Below are 24,411 nucleotides of genomic sequence, written 5' to 3' on the forward strand. Positions count from 1 at the left end.
TAAATGACATATATTCTAGTAAATGTTGGCTATATGGTCATATATTAAAAAAAAAAAATTATTTCCCTTCCTGATCCTAGAGGATCGATTCTATATGTGATGGATTTCGTATAGACTGATAAAGAATTGGATGCAGCAAGCCCCACATGGTGAGGTCCTCTCCGCCCGGTAAGCATACACAGTCAAGTGTCAGCAGTATGGGTCTGCAGCCCTTGGGTTTGTATCTCATCTGGCCCTTTTTAAGAAAACTGGGGGGAGCAGAAGCCCCAGACCAAAATGCAAAGCCCAGGTCAGATCTGCTTTGACATCATCTTCCCTTTCCTTCTCTAGTAATGTGGTGATGGCAACACCCTCTTATTGTGAAATTGGCCTTTACCATCCATTGTGCAGATGAAAAATTTAATTAGTGGGAATGGTGGGGAATATGAAGTACATTGAAAACATCTGACTATTAAGAGAAAGTTGTCCAAAGCAGGGATAATATCCCTTTAAGGGTGAAAAAGAAAACTTTCCCAAGAAGGAAATTTAGAAGAGGATATATAATTCAGTGACCAAACAAGCCTTGTCAAGTTTTTAAAAAGTACAGTTTAGAAAATTAATGGTTAGGATTTCAGTGGGGCATGTTCATCAGCAAAATGCTATAATGTTAGAAACAGTATCTACTGTTGGAACCAGGCAGGGGCCTATTATTACTGGTTTAGAATGGCGTATTTTCTTAGCTATATTAATTCTGTTAAAAATAATTCATCTTCCACTTTTGTTTTTCTTTCTCCCATTGAAACTGCAAAGACGTTAAATAGAAAAGCAGTAGATTAAATTAATTTCTTATCTGGGGAGAAGTTATTAAATGTTACACGGTTATAGTCATAATAAATAGCATATGTAATATAGGAAACTTCATATGATTACTGGTATACCTCATGGCATTCTAAGATAAGGTTCTCCCTTGAAATGAAAAATACGTACTCTTAATAAACCATTTGGGAATTGCTGCTGGAAGTATTTGTTGGATTGACTGGAGTAGCACTTCTGTAGTTGACACATATACAGCGTAGCCTTGCCAAGAAAGCCACGTTTTACCATACCACAGAAGTTTTCTTGAGCTTGCTCACTCTTTGCCAACCCAGTTAATCCCCAAAGAGAACCATTTGTTGAGGACAGCAGCTCCCTAACCTCACAGATCCTAGGCTTACCATAGGCACACAGGATTCTGTAGTCAGCACAGCAAAAGAGTCCTTGCAGGCAGCACCAGCTGGTGGCACTGTCATATTGCCATGAACAGTCTTCTCTGATTGGTGATCCCAGAAAGGCAGGAGGAGGAAGAGCCATCACTGGGACACAGGTTTTCTACCACAGCAGGGCAGCAGCTATGTCCATCTATACCAACCACTCGTGGCCAAGGCAGTGCCTGGACATATGTGTTCCTACACTTTCCTTTGATCTTCCGGGGGATTTTTACTTAATTGTCTCATTTCCTACAACAAATCTTAAACTTTCCCTATAGTAGAAAAAGGGGAAACAGTTTTCACCAGTTCTGGCACAAGCTTTGCCTCTGGTGGCATCAGTTCTCTCCAGCTGCTTTGCTGGTCCCACTGTCAGAGGTGGCATGCCAGCTCTGCATTATTTACACCTGGGTCAGGCAGCTTGCCCTCGAACCTGACTAGCTGACGGGGCAACCTGGGAGTGGAACTCGACGCCATGATCTGCAGCTCCTGCGTGTGATTTGAGATGCCAAGCATGTGTGCACAGTGTCTGTAATGAATCATCTTTTTGTATTGTGCTGGTTGGGCCTTGTCTTGCCAAGCACCACTTACAGCCTTTGTTGGCGGGGCCTGTTACCTTCGCTTACACCACATGATGTGCTTAAGGATCACTTATCCAAGCAACATGGCCTCTCTTCACTGAGGCAACCGAACCTCTTACATTTCAATATCTCTCCGACTGGTGAAAAATAAGCCCTTCAGCAGGGCCAGTGTCTTTAGAGCTCAGAGCCACACTGCTCTGCAGCTCTGCAGGCTTTGCTGAGTCCTTTGAGGGGATCAATAGGAGCCGGGTGGCATGGTTCCTGGCCCTGGCACGGACCCTTCCCGTAATGTGATAATCCCAGCAGGCCGGCCCTGAGGAGGAGGCGGCCAGCATGCTGTCCTTAGAAATCAACTTCTGACCTCCTGGCTTTCTTCCCCTTTCCCCAAAACTATTTTGTTTAAAATGCTAGCTTCTCTGTCATAAATTATTCTTTAGTTAAGGGGTTTGGCTCCTGTGTGAGTTACTGTGGTTTGAGAAGAAAAAGGAAAAAGAAAAAGGAACATCTTAGTGTAGCCAAGACCCAAACCCTAACCAAGAAAAAGTGGAAACAGGCTGGGAAAGGTAAAGTAGCAGGCAGGGAGTGGGTTTTTATTCACACGCTGTTTTAAACGGTGCAGCTCATTACTTGTTGATAATGTGCATTTTAGAAGTGTCTTTTCTGTACCCGAACTTCTCCAGGGAGTGGGCTAAGAAGAATATGCGTTTTGATGGTAGCAGTGGATTCTTTGGGTTATCACCCTGCTTAGAGCTGCTTCTCTAACATGCCCCTGAAAGTCCAGAAACAGGCCAGGGACCAGAACTTCTCAGACAGAAGTTTTCCTGAGGTCCACAGAGATCATGGCCATGAGTAGAACAAGAGCAAGTGGCATGGATCCAACAGTGTGACCAGGAGAGCATGTCAGTGGCATCTCCACTTGATTTTGCAGAGAAAGCTTTTGTTTGTGATTTAGCTGGCATTTTCCGTGCCATTACTGGTTGTTCAGCAGGAAAACAAAAATTAACCCAATGTCCAATCCAATTTAATGTTTTACTCTTAATTCCAATCATTTAAAAACTCCCTTCACATAGTATAAAGTCTCTTTTGAATAAAAATGCTCAGTCTTTCCAAAGCCTCCTCCTCCCTCATTGCTCTCTTTTCAGTGGCCTCTGGTTGTGTGAGGCCTTGGGAGGAAATAGGCTCCTAGCTTCTGGCTTACCCTTATGCATAGTGACTGGTAGTAGCAGCAGGTCTCCTAGGCACTGTGCCTTGACCCCCGGGTGGTCCTGGCCTCACTGGCTCCATATTCTGCAGCAAAGAAGTATGTGGCCTCTTCTTTTGGCTTTGAATGTTTCGCGGAGCCTCCACCACCTTCTTGTTGCTTTGGCCTCCCATCATGCTCCCTAGCTGTGGAGCTTCACCCTCTGGCCTCAGTACCCCCTGCCTTTGCAAGAGCACCTTGCCTGTCCCTAGTAGGGTCCCCAGCAGGCCCATTCTCTCCCAACTCAGCATGCAGGCTACTGGGGGTTGAGACCAGCTGAAGAGCCAAGCTCAGGGCCTCTCTTGACCCCACTGGGATGCCTTATCTGGCTTAGGGGTACCTGGCAGCCTGAGAGGTAGCACCTTCTCAGAGACCATGGTGGGCAGCCAGGCAAAAGCCACCTGACTTCTTTGTTCTGTCTCATGTCTCCCACCATTGGGAACAAAACCCAGGGAGGGGCAGCCAGAAGACACATGTCTGATTGCTGTTCCTTCCTGCCTAGGTGTCGCCTTATTTTTTCCCAGGGAAGAGATCAAGGAGTGAAATATCCCTGCATTTCTGTCTTCCTGTTTGTTCTAATTAAGCCTTCAACAAGGGTACTTGGCATATCACTTCTATCACAGAAGACATCAATTAGCTGGGCTTCCTAGGATGGCTCTCCACCTGCCAAAGGAATAGAACAAAGGAATTAAGCAAAGCCTCTCCTTCCACAAAGCCTGGTATTAAAACCCCAAATCTCCCTAAGAAGTGAAATGCCAGCCTTACCATGGGGTGATATTTCTAATAGCTTGACCTTTAGGATGAGAAATTGCAATAAAATATCCATTAAAGGAGAAAGTAAAAATGATATTTGCCAAAGGCTGAGGCAAGAGAATCGCTTGAACCCGGGAGGCAGAGGTTGCAGTGAGCCAAGATTGCACCACTGCACTCCAGCCTGGGTGACAGAGTGAGAATCTGTCTAAAAATAAATAAATAGATAGAAAGATAGATAGATAGATAGATAGATATAGATAGATAGATAGGATTTTCAATATTTAAACCTCATGAGGCCAGAACTGCCTCACTGCACAACTCCGGGAGGAAAGGATGGGCGCCCCCTGGAATTGTGGCATGTGTCACTATTATCTGTTCTTTTAAATGCATGTGTCCATCTGGGGTAGAGCTGCAAGTCAAAGGAAAGGATGACAGAGGTAAAAATCTTTTTAGAATGAAGTGTTAGTCAAATGTTTAGCCATGATCTTTTCTTCTTAATACTGTTTGCTCCTGTGATGGGGGAATGGGGGAATAATCAGGAAAAAGGAAAGTTACATTCAAGTTAAGCAGCAAGAAGCCCCAGGTGAAACATATTGTAATTATCCTGTTCCTGACCTTCTTCATTGAGAATGCTTCTTTCTAGTGTTTTTTGTCTAGTGTTCTTCCCTCAGCTGTGCCCGTACTCCTAGGATATGATCCTGATGTTACTGTATTTCAATCCTTTGCCTGAACAGAAAGTCTTTCTGTGCCTTAAGCTTCCTTTGGTAGTTTCCCATGAAAGTTTAAAAATGAATGTTAAAATAAATGACAGGCTGGAGTATGCACTTTCAAAGGGTAAATTATATCAATAACGCTGTTATTTTTGAAGAGAAAAAAAGACATGCAATCATCCACACACAGTATTTTCTTTTTCTCAAAAAGGATGGGTCATATTAAAAACAAGATCATATCACATGAGCGTCTTTGAATGTTGATTTACTTACTGAACCATAAATGGCAAATTTCTCTGAATTAATTCACATAATATAACACAGTCTTTTTAATGTTACTGAATACATTTTATGGATGTAGTGACACACATATGTTCAAGAATTCCTCTTTTGATAAACACTTTATTTCTTTTTTTTTTTTTTTTTTACTAAAGTAAGTCTTTATTTAAACACTTAGTAAATAAATACATTATGTGCTATTATTACCATGGAATAAATTCACAGGAGTGGAATTGTGTGGCTTATGGTATATGTATTTGCAATTTAGTAGATATAGCCAGGTTACTTTTCAAAAAAGACTAATAATTCATAATTCCACAAACAACATAGTAAAATTTTTTTCCATATCCCTGATAAAAATAGGTGTTACAATTCTTTATTTTTTACATTCTAATGGATTTAAATTATCTCATTGTTGCTTCAACAGAATTGAGTGCTTTTTGATATTCTGCTTGCAATTTACTATTTATATTGATTATTGCAACATCTATTGGGTTGTTTTCCTTTTTGTTATTAATTTATAAAAATTTATAAAAGCTATTCATATAAAAAGATATTAATCATTTTTCTGTCATATGGGTTACAAAATGTTTCCCAATGTGATCTCTTTTTCAAACAAATCTTTTAATTTCAAATATTTAAATATATCTATACGTGTGTGTGTGTGTTCTCAGAATTGGTAAAATCATCTCCCCTGCCTTTAAGATTGTAAGTATAACATTTTTGAAGTATTTTATTCTTTTTTTTTTTTTACATATAAGTCTTCTATCCATCTGGAATTTATTTTTACGTTTGGTGTGAATTAAGCGTTCAACTTAATTTTCTTCCAGATGGATAACCAGTTGTTCGAGCTCCATTCATGAAATAAGCCACATCTTCACACTGTTTGAAATATCACCATAGTTATATGTTAAACTTCAGTTTATTCCAGGATTTATTTCTCTTTATTCTCTTTATTGCACTAACTTGTCTATTCCTATGCCAGGACTATAGTCTTTTGTTTGCAGTAGCTTTACAGAATGTTTTCATTTCTGATAGGGCAGGTCCTTCCTTCGATAGTTTCAGTGACCAGCGAGAAATGTATAAAAGATTACCCATCAAGTTGCTTACTTTAGTTCATGAGGGGCAGAAGGAGGAGCTATTGGAGAAGTCATGTAAGATATAGATGGAAAAAGAAAGGAAAAGGGAAGTGGAAAAAAACACTGCAAGGTAAAATTTATTCCTATATATATATGGAAAATCTCATCCACCTCTTTTCCTTCTTCCCATTCCATAGAGGATGATGGTGTGAATGTTAGCAGTGAAATACATTATCACCATCATCATCATTTCCAAATGAGCATCTTTTTGTGACTACCCAACTGTTACAATTGGTAAGGCCCACTTTCTAGTGGCTGATACCTCTGCCGTACTAGCTATGAGTTTGCTGAATTCAGAGAGGAATATAGTTGATAAAATCTGGCCCTCTGAAAGGAGAACCATCTTCTACTCCAAAATGATCAACCACACTGAATTATTACTTTTCAAAAAAGAAAAGCAAATTTTTATTTTTTAATTGACAAAAATTGTTCATATTTATCATGTACAACATGATGTTTTAAAATATGTATACATTATAGAATGGTTCACTTGAGCTAGTTAATATACGCATTACTACACATTTTTGATAACAACAAATTCCCAGAAGAATGATAATAATATTGTGCTGAAATCTGCTACATATATTGTTTTAAAATTCAAAAGGCTCATTTGTTTTCTGCCTGAAAATGGATAAGATTAAATGTGCTTCTGATAAGTCTGTTTTGAATGGATCATTCAATACTGTTTAATATTCATTTTTAAAGCCAAATAACATATAAAATTATAATATTTTGTTTTCTTTTTATAGATTCAATTTTTATTTTAGATTCAGGGCTTACATGTGCAAGTTTGTTACTTGAGTATATTGTGTCATGCTGAGATATGGAGTATGATGGATTCCATCACTGAGCATAGTACCCAATTGCTAGTTTTTGAACTCTCTCTCTCCCTCTCCCATCTTATGTTCCATAGTATCTATTGTTGCCATCTTTATGCCCAAGAATACCCATTGCTTAGCTCTGACTTATAGGTGTGGGCATGCAGTATTTGGTTGTCTGTTCCTGCATTAATCCACTTAGGATAATGGCTTCCAGCTGCATCCATATTTCTGCAATAACAACAACAAAAAAAGCCCATTCTTTTTTATGGCTATGTAATATTCCACAGTGTATATGTACTATATTTTCTTTATCCAATTCAGCATTGATGGGCACCAAGGTTGATTTCATGTCTTTGCTACTATGAATAGTGCTGTAATGAACATACAAGTACATATGTCTTTTTGGTGAAATGATTTATTTTTTGGGGGGGTATATACAAAATAATGGGATTGTTGGGTCAAATGGTAGCTCTAAGTTCTTTGAGAAATCTCCAAATGGTTTTCCATAGTGGCTGAATTAATTCACATTCTCACTAACAGTGCATAAGTGTTCCCTTTTCTCCACAGCCTTGCCAGCATTTGTTAACTTTTTAGTAATAGCCATTCTGACTGGTGTGAGATAATATCTCATTGTAGTTTTGATTTGCATTTCTGTGATGATTAGGGATGTTGAGCATTTTTTAATATGTTTTTTGACCACTTATATGTCTTCTTTTGAGAAGTGTCTGTTCATGTCTTTTGCCCATTTCTTAATGGGTTATTTGTTTTTTGCTTTTTCAATTGTTTAAGTTCCTTATGGATTCTAGATATTAGACCTTTGTTGGCTCCATAGTTTGCAAATATTTTCTCCCATTCAGTAGGTTGTCAGTTTGCTCTGTTTGTAATTTATTTTGCTGTGCAGAAGCTCTTTAAATTGTTCTCACTTGTCAATTTTTGTTTTTGTTGCAATTGCTTTTGAGGACTTAGTCATAAGTTATTTTCCAAGACCCATGTTTAGAATGATGTTTCCTAGGTTTTCTTCTAGAATTCTTATAGTTTGAGGTCTTACATTAAAATCTTTAATCCATCTTCAGTTAGTTTTTGTGTATGGTGAAAGGTAGAGGTTCAGTTTCAATCCTTATATGGCTAGCCAGCTATCCCAGCACCATTTAATGAATAGGGAGTCCATTTCCCCTTGCTTGTTTTCGTCAACTTTGTAGAAGATCAGATGACTATAGATGTGTGACTTTAGGCACTCTGTTCTGTTCCATTGGTCTGTTTCTGTTTTTGTACCAGTACCATGTCATTTTGGTAACTGTAGTCTTATAGCATAGTTGGATGTTGAGTAAAGTGATGCCTCTGGATCTGTTGTTTTTGTTTAGGTTTGCATTGACTATTTGTGCTCTTTTTTGGTTCCATATGAATTTTAGAATAGTTTTTTTCTAGTTCTGTGAAAAATGACGTTGGTAGCTTGATGGGAGTAGTGTTGAATCTGTAGATTGTTTTGGGCAGTATGACCATTTTACTGATACTGATTCTTCCAATCCATGAACATGGAATGTTTTTCCATTTATTTATGTCATCTATGATTTCTTTTAGCAGTGGTTTCCAATGTTCCTTGTAGAGATCTTTGATCTACATGGTTAGAGAAGTTTTTTCGCAACTATCATAAAAGGGATTGCATTCTTGATTTGGCTCTCAGCTTAAAATTTATTGGTATATAGAAATGGTATACATTTTTGTATATTGATTTTGTATCATGTAACTTTACTGATTTTTTTTTATCAGTTCTAGGAGACTTTTGGCAATCTTTAGGGTTTTCCAGGTACAGAATCATATTGTCAGCAAAGATAGATAGTTTGACTTCTTCTTTTCCTATTTGGATACCTTTCTACACTAAATTATTAACAGCAGAGCTGAATATCATTTTGGAAGTTAAATATCCTGATGGACACAACTCATTATTGCACATTTAGCTAAGTGCAGAAAGAGAAAATTGTTTCAGGAAACAAATCTTGAATTTCTCCCTTGAGTAAAAGGATCCTTTCTGCTTCAGGAGGTTTTATTTATACCAGCAACCCCAAGGGTCTCTCCATCCACTCATTGTTTCTCACAGCCTCAGTTAGCATGCTATGTTAAGAGTACACATTTACATAATTGGCTATTCCTGATTGGAATAGATGTATTTTAACCCATTTTGGGAAGCATGCAATAAAAAACTCGCATTGTAGATTTTTGGAAGCCTAATTGTTTCTTTTTTTCTTTCAAATTTTCTCTCTTTCTAAAAAAATTCCTGTTGCTTCTTCAGTCTTGATGATTTTTTTTCTTGTTTAGTTAATGTGGTTATATTCTCTATGAAACTATTATAGATTTACCCTTTATCTTATTGCCAAGGAGAATGTGTAATTAAATCCTTGATTTAATATATAGATTTTGTGTTCAAGGAATGGCATGGGAAAATTTAATGAAGTCATTTTAGTGAAGCAATTAGCAGTCATTTTGTATGTGAAGCTTAATTGGGAAAATTGGGGGTGACTGTAGAAATAAGATGATGTATGGAAACCTAAATGCTCACTTTCTCTTTTTCTTTTTGCGTTACCTATTACTGCATCACCTACATTGCTCTTACTAGAATGATTTATGTATAGTTCTCCTTGAGAAAAAGTAGGTACCATAGACCATATGTTTTCATAACAATTTTTTTGAGTGTTTAAGTTAGAATCACCAGAAAGATGTACTTGAGATGGCATTCTAGATTGTTAATGTGAAAAAGATGTGTCAAGAGTCATATATAAGATGAAGATTTCAAATGATAGGTGTTTAGTTTCTATGTAGAGCTTTTGCTGCCCTCCACAACTACATCAAAAGATATATTTCAAGTCCCCTTGGTCAGCTCTTCTGAGGAGATTTTACACAAAAGCCCCTTAATTGGCTGTCAGTGAGTAGCACCTAGCTCTTTTCCTGTCCATAAGATGTGGGAGAAAAAAAAGAGAGACATAAACTCAACAATATAATATTGTTGGAAATTATCTTATAGACACAAGCTTTGATTCCACATCTGCAGACTTGTGACTAGAGGGCAAGGATCCCCCTCCCCTTCCTTTCACCATTACTCTAAAGCTGGTCTCAATTCAAGATAAAAAGAAAGTTCTAAACTTTAAGATTATTTTAATATCAAAGGGAGATGATGAAAACGGCATTTCCATCCAAATTATAAGCTTATGTTTTCTTTTTAAATTAAATATGCTTAAAAAGCCAATCTCCAAATTTTAGCACAGATGCTCACAAAGAATAGAGGCAATGGTTATTTAGCCAAGGGGGTTAATAATTAAGTGTTTTATTAAGCTGGCCTAATTTACATTTTAATTCAAAAAGCATATTATAAATTAAAAGGAAAAAGCGTGTTTCTAAAAAAATGTCAAAAATCAAATATCAAAATAAAGATCAATCCTTTGAATTTGGTTCAAAAATTTTTGAGATGAGTAAGATATAGTAAGAGGACTGTGTGATAGGAACATATTTCTGAAATCCTTATCCAATTTTTTTCTTTAAATATTTTCTATTTTCTCTCCTAGCTAGGAGAGATAATTTTGATAGATAGCTGGAACTCGTTGTTTCCTAGATTTTTTTTCAGTTTAAAATTCCTAAGACCCAAGTTGTAAGAAAAATAGATGGCATGGATTTGGAGAGAATGGAATTTTCTTTGGAAGACAGAAAACATCTTTTTGGGCTAAGAAAGAGAAAGACTCTGCAACCTGGACAGAGGGACCCTGAGCACTGCTTCTTGGGCAGTGCCACGTAGGTAATAGAACACCAGATGGATCTGGCAGGCACTAGAAGAGAGCTTGAAATCTGTTATGGCTGTATTCCATTAAGATCCTGGACCACTACTTCTGCACAGAAGCAGAAGAATGGTTCCCATGCTCTGGAGTAGAGCTTCTTCAGAAGTAGTGAAGACACAGTTCTAAAAAGCCAAGCAGACAGCAAAGAGGCCTGTCTTCAGGGATCCAACTGAGTGCCCAAAAGGACAATGAATGGTTCAGTGTATGTTTATGTAGTATTAAGGCTGGAAGAATCAGACGAATGCCATGTACTACACCAAGTCTTCATACTCAGTACTAAAGATGAGAGGGAGAGGACATGGCAAACTGATGGAAATGAAGCTTCTGTCATCTGACACAGTGGGAGTTCAAAATGGAAATTTAGTTGAATTATACCCAATAAAGTTATAACGTCTCACTTACCTGAGAGTGTGGATTGAGATTTATGCTCACGATATTTGAAAATGATGGGGGAAGATGGAGATGAGTACCACAATATCAACTGATTTCTATCACTTTATCACTGTTAGCTGAAGTTAAAGAAGAATAGTTCCTTTCTCTAACAAGAACATAACTCTCTTTGATAGCTGTTTGAAAGGATAGTCTGCATCAGTATAATGGCAAGAATTTTTAAAAGTTCCTTAAGGTTCTTTGTCTCTATGTTCTGCTGTGAGATACTTTGCTGCCAGAAGCCTGCTGTCAACAAGGCATCAACATTTTTTCTTCTCTTTCATTTTCTTAATTCAGTTTGCTTATTTATTGGGGCTGTCTTCCGTTTTATCACCCAGAAACTAAGTAATATTTTAAAATATATCTTTGCTATGATATAGACTGTATAATACCTTGAAATTAGTTTACCTGCTTCTCCAAGTTTCCATTTTTATCCTTTAATATGTGTTATTTGCATTTCCTTAAAGTTTTATTGACATTTAACTTTTCCCTTTACTTTTTTCTCTTTTAAATTCATCTTTGCTTTACTTGTTATTGTTCACTTCTGTTGTAATTTTTTTCTTTTTTGTAGCTTTGTGTTTTGAATATATTGTTAATTTTTATTTTTATCTTAGTTTTAATTTTAGTTCCTATATTATTTTTTTCTCTAAAATATTTTATCCTGGTAGTTATGTGTACCTTTTCATGGTCTTAAGATTCAATTTCTTTATTCTTTGACATTTATCCTATTATTTTATTTTATATTGTCTTCCTTTCTCTTAAAGAAAGTATGACTTATTTTCTAAATAGCAATATAAGAAGCAGAGTTCAGAGCACGGAAGCAGTGAAGAACACTGAACAGAGGTTGGAAGGTTGAAGTTGAATGAGGTGATATTATTATCTGATTAAGTAGATGTTTGCTGATATTAACATAGCATTTTTGCAGGTTAAAATTATTGTAGTCTTATGATTTAGGGTTTCGGAAATAAACAGTTGTCTGTTTGTTCATGAACTGGAGCAGACCCTCAAATTTATTTTTGGGGAAAATCTCTTGGACTTTTGACTCACTCTTATTCTACAACAGGATGCATTATATACTTAATGAGCTTTCCAACTCTCCAAAAAGAATAGCAATACTAGCTGAAAATGAAAGTATTTAGATCCTTCTTTGGAAAAAATCCTCTTTGATGAGCAACTTGAAAACGTATGCCGACATTTGAAATATGCACAGAACAATTCCACATTGAAGAACGGAGATAAAATTCTATGGAAATTTCACAAAATACTTATTATGTTATTTAGCAGGGCATTTCATTTTCTTCTTTGGGTATATATGATGTGTATGTTAAAAAAGAGCAAGTTGGTCCTCTGGTTCCAGCAACATAAAAGATTGAACTTCTGATGCCCCTTGCTCATTGCAAACAGGAAATTCAGGATAAAAATGCATATTTTAAAAAATTTTCAAAATATCTTTGGGAAAGCATCTCTAGGAGCCAACAACATAAAAGAGGCAAGTCAATGAGGTGATGACATGGTGGTCTTCGTAGGATTTTAGTCTAAGATATAAGACTAAATATTTGGGGATAACAATTTAAAAACACATGTAGCGAGAAAAGTTGTATCCTTGGAACCTATTTCTATAGAGGTCACTGGGTAGATTAAGTTAAAAGAGAGAGGACTTAATGCAGATTTAGAAATAGTTTCTAGGGAAGGGATAGTATAAAGCCTTACAATTACAAGTGTTCATTGTCATTATAGATAAGCCTTTTAAAGGTCACTTTAAAAAGTTAGAAAAGGGTTTTGGGAAAATGTTGAAGTGATATAATTTTTGAGTCTTCCAGAATTCCTCTATAAATAATACTGCATTAAATTATTTTCTCACATTTTCCCTTTTAAAAGTGATTCTACTCAGTTACCTCTATAGGAATAAGTTGAGGGATACAACTCCTCTCTCTACATGTGATTTTTATTTTTATTTATTTATTTTTTTGAGATGGAGTCTCGCTCTGTTGCCCAGGCTGGAGTGCAGTGGTGTGATCTTGGCTCACTGCAACCTCCGCCTCCTGGGTTCAAGTGATTCTCCGGCCTCAGCCTCCTGAGTAGCTGGGATTACTGACACCCACCACCACACCTAGCTAATTTTTCTATTTTTAGTAGAGACAGGGTTTGCCCATGTTGGCCAGGCTGGTCTCGAACTCCTGACCTCAGGTGATTTGCCCACTTTGCCCCCACCAAAGTGCTGGGATTACAGGTGTGAGCCACCAAGCCTGTCTCCCTACATGTGATTTTTGTTATTCCCAAATATGTGGTCCCATATCTTTGACTGAAATCCTGGCAAGGCTACCATATCATCACTTCATAGACTTACCATTCTGGCTTTAGTTTTTTTTTTTTTTTCTATGTTATTGGCTCCTAAATTTTTTTTTTTTCAGCTGACCAGCAACTAGGATTGTTACTTTGGGTGAAAAAGGACAATATCTACAGTAGTAGGAGACAAGGTATTACAAGACCCACAAATTAGAGGAGGTAAAGAAATTATGACATTGCAAAATCCCAGTGGGCAGGCAGAAAGAAGAAACAAACAAGAGTATTCCAAAGTAGTAAACAGCAACTTACTGGAAAGTACTACAGGCCAACTTGAGAACAGCAGCTGAAATTGGAAAAAGTTTTTACCCACACCAATTTGAAGATGAGTACAAGGGATACGGTAAGGTCTGAAAAGGCCAGAGCAGCTCTATAAACTTTCAAAATGAAACACAAACGTCTGAGAAACCTACAGGAATAAAGTTCAAATTAGGCAGAGCAGTGAGAGTGGGAGCAGAAAGCAAAAGTTGAGGGAGGGGAACAAAGCCAGAAGATTGTCAAAAAGTCAGAGGCTATAGCTGCTTAACACTTCATTAAACCTATAGGGCAGAGTTCTAGATTAGTGTTGCCAAAAGAAGTTGCATTCCACCCATTCATTCTATAAGTTAAGGAAAAATAAGTTGAATTTGATATGAAGTTATTATAAGAAAGAGAGAGAGAATAAGGAGCATACTAATGTCCTTACACACAATTGAAGCCAGAGAGACATGTTCATAAAACAAAAAGTATAACCTGAAATCTTAATATTTCAAAATGAGCTAAAAATTAAGAAAGTGATAGATGATATGAAAGAATAAAATAACTTAGACATAAGATGTTAGAAGTCAGGAAAGAATTAGTAATCAAAGGAAAAAATAATTTCAGAAATGATGACTAATTTGAATAAACACAAAAATAAACACAACAAATAATACCCGAAGATAAATAGAAAAAAATAAAATGCAGGAAGGGAAAATAATTTTTTAAAAAGTGAAAGATAAAGAAGATAGGCAGAAAAGACTGAACATGAGTATAATAGGAACTTCTGAATAAGAAAACCAAAACAATGGGAATAAAAACAAATACTAAAACTATAACTTAAGAAAATAGTTTTCCGAGGCGGGCAGATCACGAGGTCAGGAGTTTGAGACCAGCCTCACCAACATGGTGAAACCCCACCTCTACTAAAAATACAAAAATTAGCCAGGTGTGGTGGTACATGCCTGTAATCTGAGCTACTCAGGAGGCTGAGGCAGGAGAATCGCTTGAACCCGGGAGGCAGAGGTTGCAGTGAGATGAGATTGAGCCACTGCACTCTAGCCTGGGTGACAGAGCGAGACTCCGTCTCAACAACAAAAAAAAAAAAAAAAAAAAGAAAGAAAAAAATAGTTTTGAAATTAAAAACAAGTCAAAAGTGCATATTGAAAGAGCTCACTATTTATATATTTATATGACAAACTTGGCATAGAAATATGTTATTTAAAATATGCACAAAGCAAGGCATTTTATAGTAATGGACTATAAAGAAAAAGAAAAGGAAACAAAATAAATTGAAAACTAGGCAAAAAGCCCAAGACATTTATCAGGAAAAGTAACACAGTGTCATCAAACTTTTTGATAGGAATGCTGTTTGCCAGAAAACAATAGAGTAGCATATTGGAAGATAATAAAAGAAAGCGTGAGCCAATGGCTTTATGTCCAGCCCAGATGACTTTCTGTTTAAAAACTGCACACAAACCATTATAAACATGCAATAATTTAGGTGATTTTTTTTGAGAAATCTAAAGAATGAGCTTCAGGCTAATTCTTCAACAATAAAGAATGAAGAAAAATTTACATAAGTAATGGTGGTAAGTACTGAATATGTAATTACATGTAGAATTTCAACTAGATGGTAATTATATGACAGAGTGTAATATGTAATGGCTATATACTCTGAAAATAATTTCATAGTACAACTTTCAAAATATTAGGGGAAAGTAGGGAAAACACGAAAAGTAGGAAAAGCTTACTGTTTACTTCATAGTTATTATTTGAGAGTAAATTAATATAATTTGAAACCAGATGTTGGAGAGATGCAGGGAAAAGAACAAAAGAGGGTATTACCTCTTAATATGGCTCATAGTAAGAACCAAATAAAAAATAACCAAAAAAGGGGAAAGTGCTATATCTGTTACAAAATATAAGAAATTAATATATAAGTGTTGAAGGCAAACTGTTAATCATATTAAAAAAATAAAATGGGATTAATTTATCTATTAATTTTTTTGATTGGTAAACAAAACAACATCCAACACTGTATTATATAAGAAGCACATCCAAAACAAAGAGATTTGGAGTGGTTTAAAATAAACTAATTGTTAAAGCTATATCAGGAAAATAAAAATACAAAGAAAGGAGTGGCTAAAATATTGCTATCTGACTAGGTAGAATTCAAACTGGAAAATAAGAAGAGATGAAGATACTTTGTAACGCTAAATGTTAAAACACAATGAAAATAAAGCAGTTATTCATATTTAAAACACAGAAGCATCTTTCACACTACAGGAGATTGAAGGGGAAAGAGAAGCAGTAATACTAGAAAATTTTAACACACTTTTAAAATCCAAATCAGATGAATTAGACTAAAAATTAGTGATGATATAGAACAGGGTCATCAAGTATTTTCTATGAAAGGCCTGACAGTAAATATTTCAGATTTTGTGAGCCATACTGTCCCTGTTGCTTCTGCTCAACTTTGATGTTGTAGTGCAAAAGTACTCAGAGACAATACATAAAGAAACAAGAATGGCTATTTTCCAATATTTTATTTAGTTTGCTAACCCTGATATAAAAAACCTAAATAACATCATCAAATAAACTTTATGTATGTATGTATGTATGTGTAATTGTGCCTATAACAACATATATGCATATGTATCTTTCAGTGAAATCAGATTATAGCTATCTAATCAAATATGTGTGTGTGTGTGTATATATATATATATATATATATATATATATATATGTATGTATTTTTAACAGTATGGGGAACACTCACAAAAATTGACCTTAATTTAAACCATAGAAAAATCCATGAATTCCAAAGGTTAGGCTTAATGCGGGACCATTTTCTTACCATAGTGCAATAAAACTAGAAATTAATGACAGAAAGCCACCACAAACATTTTAACACCTGCAAACTTATGAAATTAAATCCTACATCCATAAGACTAAAAAATGAACAATAAAGAATTAAAAAAAAACAATTCAACACGTTAGAAATTAAAACACAAAAAGTGCTCAACATTACTAATCATTAGAGAAATGTAAATCAAAATCAGAACGAGATATCATCTCACACCAGTCAGAATGGCTATTATTAAAAAGTCAAAATATAACAGATGCTGATGAGGTTGCAGAGGAAAGGAAACACTTATATTCTGCTGGTAGGAATGTAAATCAGTTAAACCACTATAAAAAGCATTTTGGCAATTTCTCAAAAAACTTAGAATTACCATTCAATCCAGCAATCCCATTATCAGGTATATATCCAAAGGAATATAAATTGTTCCACCATAAAGACACACACATGTATGTTCATCACAGTACTATTCACAATAGCAAAGATATAAAATTAACCTAGATGCCTATCAACAGTAGACTGGATAAAGGAAATGTGGTACATATACACCATGAAATATTACGCAACCATAAAAAAGAACAAAATCATGTCCTTTTTAGCCACATGGATGGAGCTGGACACCATTATCCTAGGCAAACTAATTCAGAAACGGAAAAAAGAAATACCACATGTTTTCACCTATAAATGGGAGCTAAACATTAAGTACACACAGACATACAAAAGAGAACAATAGACATGGGGGCCTACTTGAGGGTGGAGAGTGGAAGGAGGGTAAGGATCGAATAACTACCTATTGGGTACCATGCTTATTACATGGGTGAGGAAATAATCTGTACACCAAACCCCCATGACACATAATTTGCCTGTGTAACAAATCTGCACGTCCCCCTGAAACTGAAAGTTTTTTTTTTAAGATGTGCAAAAGTTCTGAAAAAACTCCTCACTTAGAAGATACACAGATGGCAAATAAGCATATGGAAAGATGCCCAACATTACATGTCACTAGATTATTGCAAATTAAAACAATGAGATACCACTACCCACATACTAGAATGGGTAAAATTCAAAATACTGACAAGACCAAACCACTGGCAAGGATGTGAAACAGTGGGAACTCTCATTCGTTGCTGGAGGGAATGCAAAATGGTATAGTCACTTTAGAAGGCAGTTTGGCAGTTTCTTACAAAGCCAAACAGTCTTGCCATACAATCCAGCAATTGGACTTTGAAGTATTGATCCAATTTAGTTTAAAACTTATGTCCATACAAAAACCTGCACAGATGTTTATGGCATTGTTACTCATAATGGCTAAAAATTGGAAGCAACTAAGGTGTCTCTCAATAGGGGAGTAAATAAAGGAACTGTGTTAAATCCACACAACAGGATATTACTCATCTCTTAAAAAAAATGAGCTATCAAGCCATAAAGAGACATGGAGGAAACTTTAATACATGTTGTTAAGTGAGAGAAGCCAATCTGAAAAGGCTATACTATATTATATGATTCCAACTATATTATGTTCTGGAAAAGGTAAAACTATAGAGACAGGAAAAAAAGATTAAGTGGTTGCCAGGGGTTGGTAGGTAGGTAGAGGGATGAATAGGTAAAGTACAGACAATTTTTAGGGCAGCAAAAATTATTCTGTATGTTGCTGTAATGGTGGATACATGACACTAACATTTGACAAACCTATGTAACTGCACAACACAAAGAGTGAACCCTTGATGTCAACTATGGATATTCATTAATAATAATGTAGCAATATTGGTTCATTAGTTTCAACAAATGAACCACATGAATGCAAGATATTAATCACAGGAGAGATTGTGTGTGAGAGAAGGGTTATATGAGGACTCTTCTCTTTAAATTTTCTATAAACTTAAATTTTCTCTAAAAATAAAGTTTATTAAAAAAGAAAAAAATAATAAAATAAATGCAAAAATCAACAAGTCAGAAGACAGAAATACTATAAAACTAAAAGCTGGGTTTTTGAAAAATAAAACAATAAAATAGATAAGCTACTAACCAACCTAATTTTAAAAAATGAGGGAGAAATGGTAAATATAACACAATTAGGACAAAAGAGAAATAATCATGGACACAGAAAAAATTAAAATAACTTAAAGCAACTACTTACAATAGCTCTATGGAAATAACTTTGAAAATGTAAACTAAGTAGATGAGTTTTTAGAAAAAAATGCAGGTGACTAAAATTGACCCCAGTGGAGACAGTCTACACAGACAAATGATCTTAAATAGAGAAAGTAACTGAATACACCCCCATAAAGAGAAGATCTCCAGATTGTTTCATGGAAGAATTCAACCAAGTCTTTAATAATAACATAATTATAATGCTACTTAAATTATTTCAAATCATGAAAGAGAAAAAAATTAGAATTTATTTTTATGAAGTAGGTATTACATTGATCTCCAAAGCTGACCATGCTATACCAGAAAAGAAACAACAGACTAGTCATATGAATTTTGGATACAATAGTCTTAAATAAAACTAAATACTAATGAACAGACTCCATTGGTACATTTAAAAAGAAGTATGAACAAGTGGGTTTCATATTAGAAAAAACATCAAGAGTTCATCCTGTTAATAAAGCAACACTACAAAATCATTTTGATTATTTCCACAGATGCAGAAAAGGCAACATCAAAGGACATTGGTGTCAAGAACAATCAGTAAAATGAATTGATGGATACTTCTGTAATATGATAAAACACATACCTATAACATAACTCTACCTTAGGATCCAGAAATTCCATTAAATAATCATCAACAGATATTGTTGTAGATTCATTCAATAGACTATTGTGCAGTAGTTAATAGGAACTAGCTAGGGCTAAATAGACTGGCTATGCACTTACCTGCTAATTTCTATCTGTGTGACCTTGGCAAATCTGCTTAATTTCCCTGAGCTTTGATTTGGTGTTTCTATCTGTAAAATGGAGATAATGATATCTACCTTCCAGTGCTGCAGTAAGAATTAGAATTAACATATGTGTAAAGCTCTTTGCACAGTGTGAAACCTGGCAGGCACTCAGATGATGATCTGAGAAGTGCACTAATGCTGCCAAGTTTATTTAACTAGGTTATAGCAAGCGGATTAAATAGAGCTTTAATAATAAGGTAAAAGTTACCAGATCCTTTTCATAATGTTGCCTTAGCTGAAATTCATATCTCTTATTGCTTGAATTACAACAACCTCCTGTCTGATCTTCTTGACTCCAGTCTTTCTTCTTATCAAAGTCTGGATGTATAGGGGGAACAGGAGAAAATCAAAATGTGATGTCAAGATTCTAAAATCAGAGGGTTGTGAAATCAATTTAGTAGGCCAAAGCCAGAATTTTAAACAATAAAATAGATTAGAAAATGTCAGTGCATTCTATATAGTAAAATTACATGCTCTTTTGTGAAACTATTTTTTTAAGTTCTATTTCTATGTATGCCTACCGAATTTTGATGTGAGAGCATTTACTGTGGGTGACAAAGTTTGATAGTCTCGGCATATTGTCCATTCTCTATAAGTCAGCTGGAGTGATCTACTCTACTTGACAATATGTCAAGCCATTAGTTTTCAAAGAAGTGACATCTTGTCGGTAATGAAGATCCCTTTAGATAGGTTGCATATGGATCTAATATAAATAAAATATATTATTACTCTTCAAATATGGATCTCCTAGGTTTTAGGCCATTTTTACTTTACAATTTCCCTCTCATTTCCTGCCTTTTGATCATTTCTTTATAGTTAGCAGCTTTGTAAGAGCAGTATTATAGGGAGAACAGAGGAGAATCAAAACGTGATGTCAAGTTTCTAAAATTTATAAAAATGACTGTTAAGTACTACTCAGCACTTACTGTGTTGGAATTATAAGAAGGAATTACAAGAAGTTCTGCTATCTTGTCATTATGACATCATTATCATTATCATCATACATTATCTCATTAAATCCTCACACCAACCCTACAAGCCTAAGGTGGAGGAATTAAAATCTGGCAAAGTAATCTGCCACAATTGTGTAATTCAAGCTGGTTTCTCATTTTTATATTTAAAATGACAAAAGTGGGGTCACAGCAAAGGTGGAAATGAGGGGCTAAATTGAAAATTTAAGTTGAATTTTGTAGTTGATTTATCAAAAAAAAAAACAAAACAAAAAACCTTCCTGTCCATGGGTTATAGAGAATAGTCTGGACAATGGATATCATGCTGTACCTCACAGTGTTTTTACTTTGTCTGGTACATTTTGCTGTACCATTGAGAAATTAATAAGAATTAAGAAACTAATATCACTCACTCATTCATCTTTTAGGGACATTTAGAAACATGTTAAGCAAATAAGAAAAATGAAAATCATAGTCAATTAAGGAGTTAGGCATGTAAGTGAAAGGTACAGCCTTGCAGTTAAAGATAGAACTGCTATGAACATGCAAACCTAAGAGAAAAGATTGATCATTTAAGCCTTTAACTCCCCTGGAGCAATCAGAGAAGACTTTCTGAAGAGATGGCACTTGAACTGAGTATTGATGGATGAACAAGAGATTGCCAATTGAATTCTTACGGGCACGTTGAAAAATACAGAGCCTGTGGCAGAAGTGGCTCCAAAAGGCTGCAGCAAAGAGCAAACATCTGGAAAGCTGATAAAAGCAGTAGCCAGGTGATCAGAGCTAGAGCATGACAACTCCCTTGATGCTTCCTGTTCCCCAGCCTTTAAAATCTTTGAAATGAACTTGCTTTATAACCACTGATGGAAGTATGGTGGTGGGAAATAAAGGAAGTATTTGGAATGAAGAAGTTTGACAACTGTTCTGAAGTACTGTGTGCCTCATCATTTTCAGATTCAATTTCTTTTTTCGTTGAATGAGGCACAGTCATAACAATTCCATTACTCCGGACATTTACAGTTCATTCCCAGATAATATGATAAGGATTATCCTCCTGCTGCCCTGCATCCCCGCTCCACTGCTTTTGAACTCTTGACAATAGCATTGTCAGGAGACCAAAGGCATATCATTAATTACCCTTAAATTTCTTGGAAGTACTCATTTGAGGGAAAGCCCTAAAGGATCTTTCAGCTATTTGTTTTTGGACACAATAAATAATGGAGAAGAATAAAATCAAGAATAGGACCTGTTTTACTTTTCCAGATCCCCTTGGCTCAAGTGTAAAAGAAACCACAGACGGAAGCCCACAGATGGAGGCTCCTGATCATACAGCTGCGTCTTTGTTGGTACAGAAAACCAATTGTGGGTAGGAGCCATGGAGGAAGAGACAATATTAGAATGCAATGGCATTTTAATTATACTTACCATAATTCTAATGTTCTCTTCTGTGGTGAAGTGTTTGGGGAGTTGTCTTGAAACTAGAATCCAATCCTGCAAACTTCAATCCATTAGAGCGGTGCTGTTTGGAAATATACAGAGAAGCAAGTTTGAAAGATTTTCCAATAATCTCGCTTTGTAGTGTTTAGACTTCCTCTGATGACTGGAGAGGAGAAGGAAGAGAGAAAGCCAGGAGATTAAGTGGCCCATTTCTGTTCCTTAGGGATGTCCACTGGAGAACAAGCTTAACTCCTTGAACTATTTAAACTGCCTCTGAACATTCTTACAGAAGCCTGGTATACTGGACATGAATCCTATTTTCCCGAAAGAGGTAATATAGCTCTAAGCTAGTGGTACCATTCCTATTTTCCAGGACTGGAAACTTCAGAGCCAATTAAGTAGGCTACCTACTAAGAGTCATACTGAATTTCATTTCATAGGTATTTATGAGCCTACTATGTTCCAGGCACAGGGGTGAGTGAAAGAGATGCTGGTCTTGCCCTCCTGGAGCTTGTTGTCTAGTAGGAAAAACATATATTAAGCTAATGAATTAATTACATGGCAACACTTGTGATAAATGCAAAGTAAAGAGGGATATGAGAGCACGTAAGAGTGGGACTAGAAATGGATGAAGGGGTCATCGGAGGCTATCCTGGCTAACATAAGCCTTTTGTACTGAACAGATTACACAGTTTAAAAGAGAGGGAAGCAAGCTTCAAGTAGAGGTAACAGGATGTGTGAAGACTCAGTGGCTGAAAAGAGTGTGATTTAAACCACAATCTTCAAAGTGTGAAGGAAGCAGACTCATTTTACGTGGCTGAAACAGGAGAAAGAGAGAGATGGGGGGAGGTGCCACACGGTTTTAAACAACCAAATCTCATGAGCAGTCACTATCATGAGAGCCACGCTGAGGGGGAAATAAGGCAGGGAAGACTGGGGTGACTGGAGTACAGAGAGCTAGCACATGAGGCCAGGAAGGGGTGGAGATTAAACTGGAGAGCCCTGTGATAAGGTCTGGGTCTGTGTGCACCCAGCCCAAATCTCATGTCAAATTGTAATCCCTAGTGTTGGAGGTGGGGCCTGGTGGGAGGTGATTGGATCATGGGGGTGGATTTCCCCCTCAGTGTGGCTCTCATGATAGTGAGCGCTCATGAGATTTGGTTGTTTAAAACTGTGTAGCACCTCCGCCATCTCTCTCTTCCTCCTGCTCCAGCCACAAAAGATGAGTCTGTTTCCTTCACCTTCCGGCATGATTGTAAGTTTCCTGAGGCCTCCCAAGTCATGCTTCCTATAGAGCCTGTGGAACCATGAACGAATGAAACCTCTTTTCTTTATAAATTACCAGTCTCAGGTATTTCTTTACAGCACTGCAAGAATGAACTAATACACCCTGTAAGCCGTACTAATGATATTTCACTTTATTCTAAGATTCTAAGATGGGAAACCAACAACTTTAAATGCTCTGACCTGAGCATTTTTGAAAGGTCTATTTGGTGATTGTGTATAGGTTGATTTGGAAGGTGGCAGGTGTGGAAGGAGTTTTAGTTAAGAGGTGTTTGTGGCAGTGGTGATGGAGAGAATCTCACACATTCAAGAGAGGTTTAAGAATGATGTTAGCAAGGTTTGGTGACCGATTTGATATGATCTATGAAAAAGGAAGTGGTGGCAGGGCACAGTGGCTCATGACTGCAATCCCAGCACTTTGGGAGGCCAAGGCAGGTGGATCACCTGAGGTCAGAAGTTGGAGACCAGCCTGGCCAACATGATGAAACTTCATCTCTACTAAAAATATAAAAATTAGCCAGGTGTGGTGGTGCATGCCTGTAATCCCAGCTACTCAGGAGGCTGAGGCAGGAGAATTGCTTGAACCAGGGAGGTGGAGTTTGCAGTGAGCAGTGAGCCGAGAGATCAGGCCACTGCACTCTAGCTTGGGTGACAGAGTAAGACTCCCTCTCAAAAAAAAAAAAAAAAAAAGAAAGAAAAGAAAAAGGAAATGGTTCAGGGTGACCCTAAGTTTTCTTAATAAATGAGTAGATATTTGGTTGTACATTTGCTGACATTAAGACTCAAGAGAAGGACCAAGTATGGAGAATGAGTGCTGGGAAGAAAAACTGTGAGTTTGAATTTGGGCAGTAGAACTTAGGGTGCTTCCAAAAGACCAGGGCCACTGAAGGGTGATAAACCTGAGCTTGGGATCCCCATTCTGCTGTTTACTATCCATGACAACTTAGGCAAGTTTCAAAATAACCTTATACATCAATTTCCCGATCTGTAAAATGGGAATAAGAATAACAGTACCTTCACTGAGTTGTGAAGAACAAGTGAGAATACATACCAGACTGGTAACTATCCATGGGGCCAGGAGTGGGATGAGGTGGTCTAGGAAGGGGAACATTGGGTAAATTGAGATGGCTCTTCCTCTTTGTTATTAGTTAAATTTATATAAGAATCTATGTTATTACATATACACTTAGAAATGAATACAATAATATATGAAAAGAATATAAAAGGCTATATAAAAATATCCATGTATAGCACTCAGCCTGGCACTTGGAGAACAGTCAATAAATGTGATCTCTGTGTAGATAAAAGGGACCTGGAGTTCAGAGAGAGCGCTGGTCTAGAGGTGTGCATTTAGTA

The sequence above is a fragment of the Homo sapiens genome, chromosome 5, assembly GCF_000001405.40.
Source record: "Homo sapiens chromosome 5, GRCh38.p14 Primary Assembly".
Classification (NCBI taxonomy): Eukaryota; Metazoa; Chordata; class Mammalia; order Primates; family Hominidae; genus Homo; species Homo sapiens.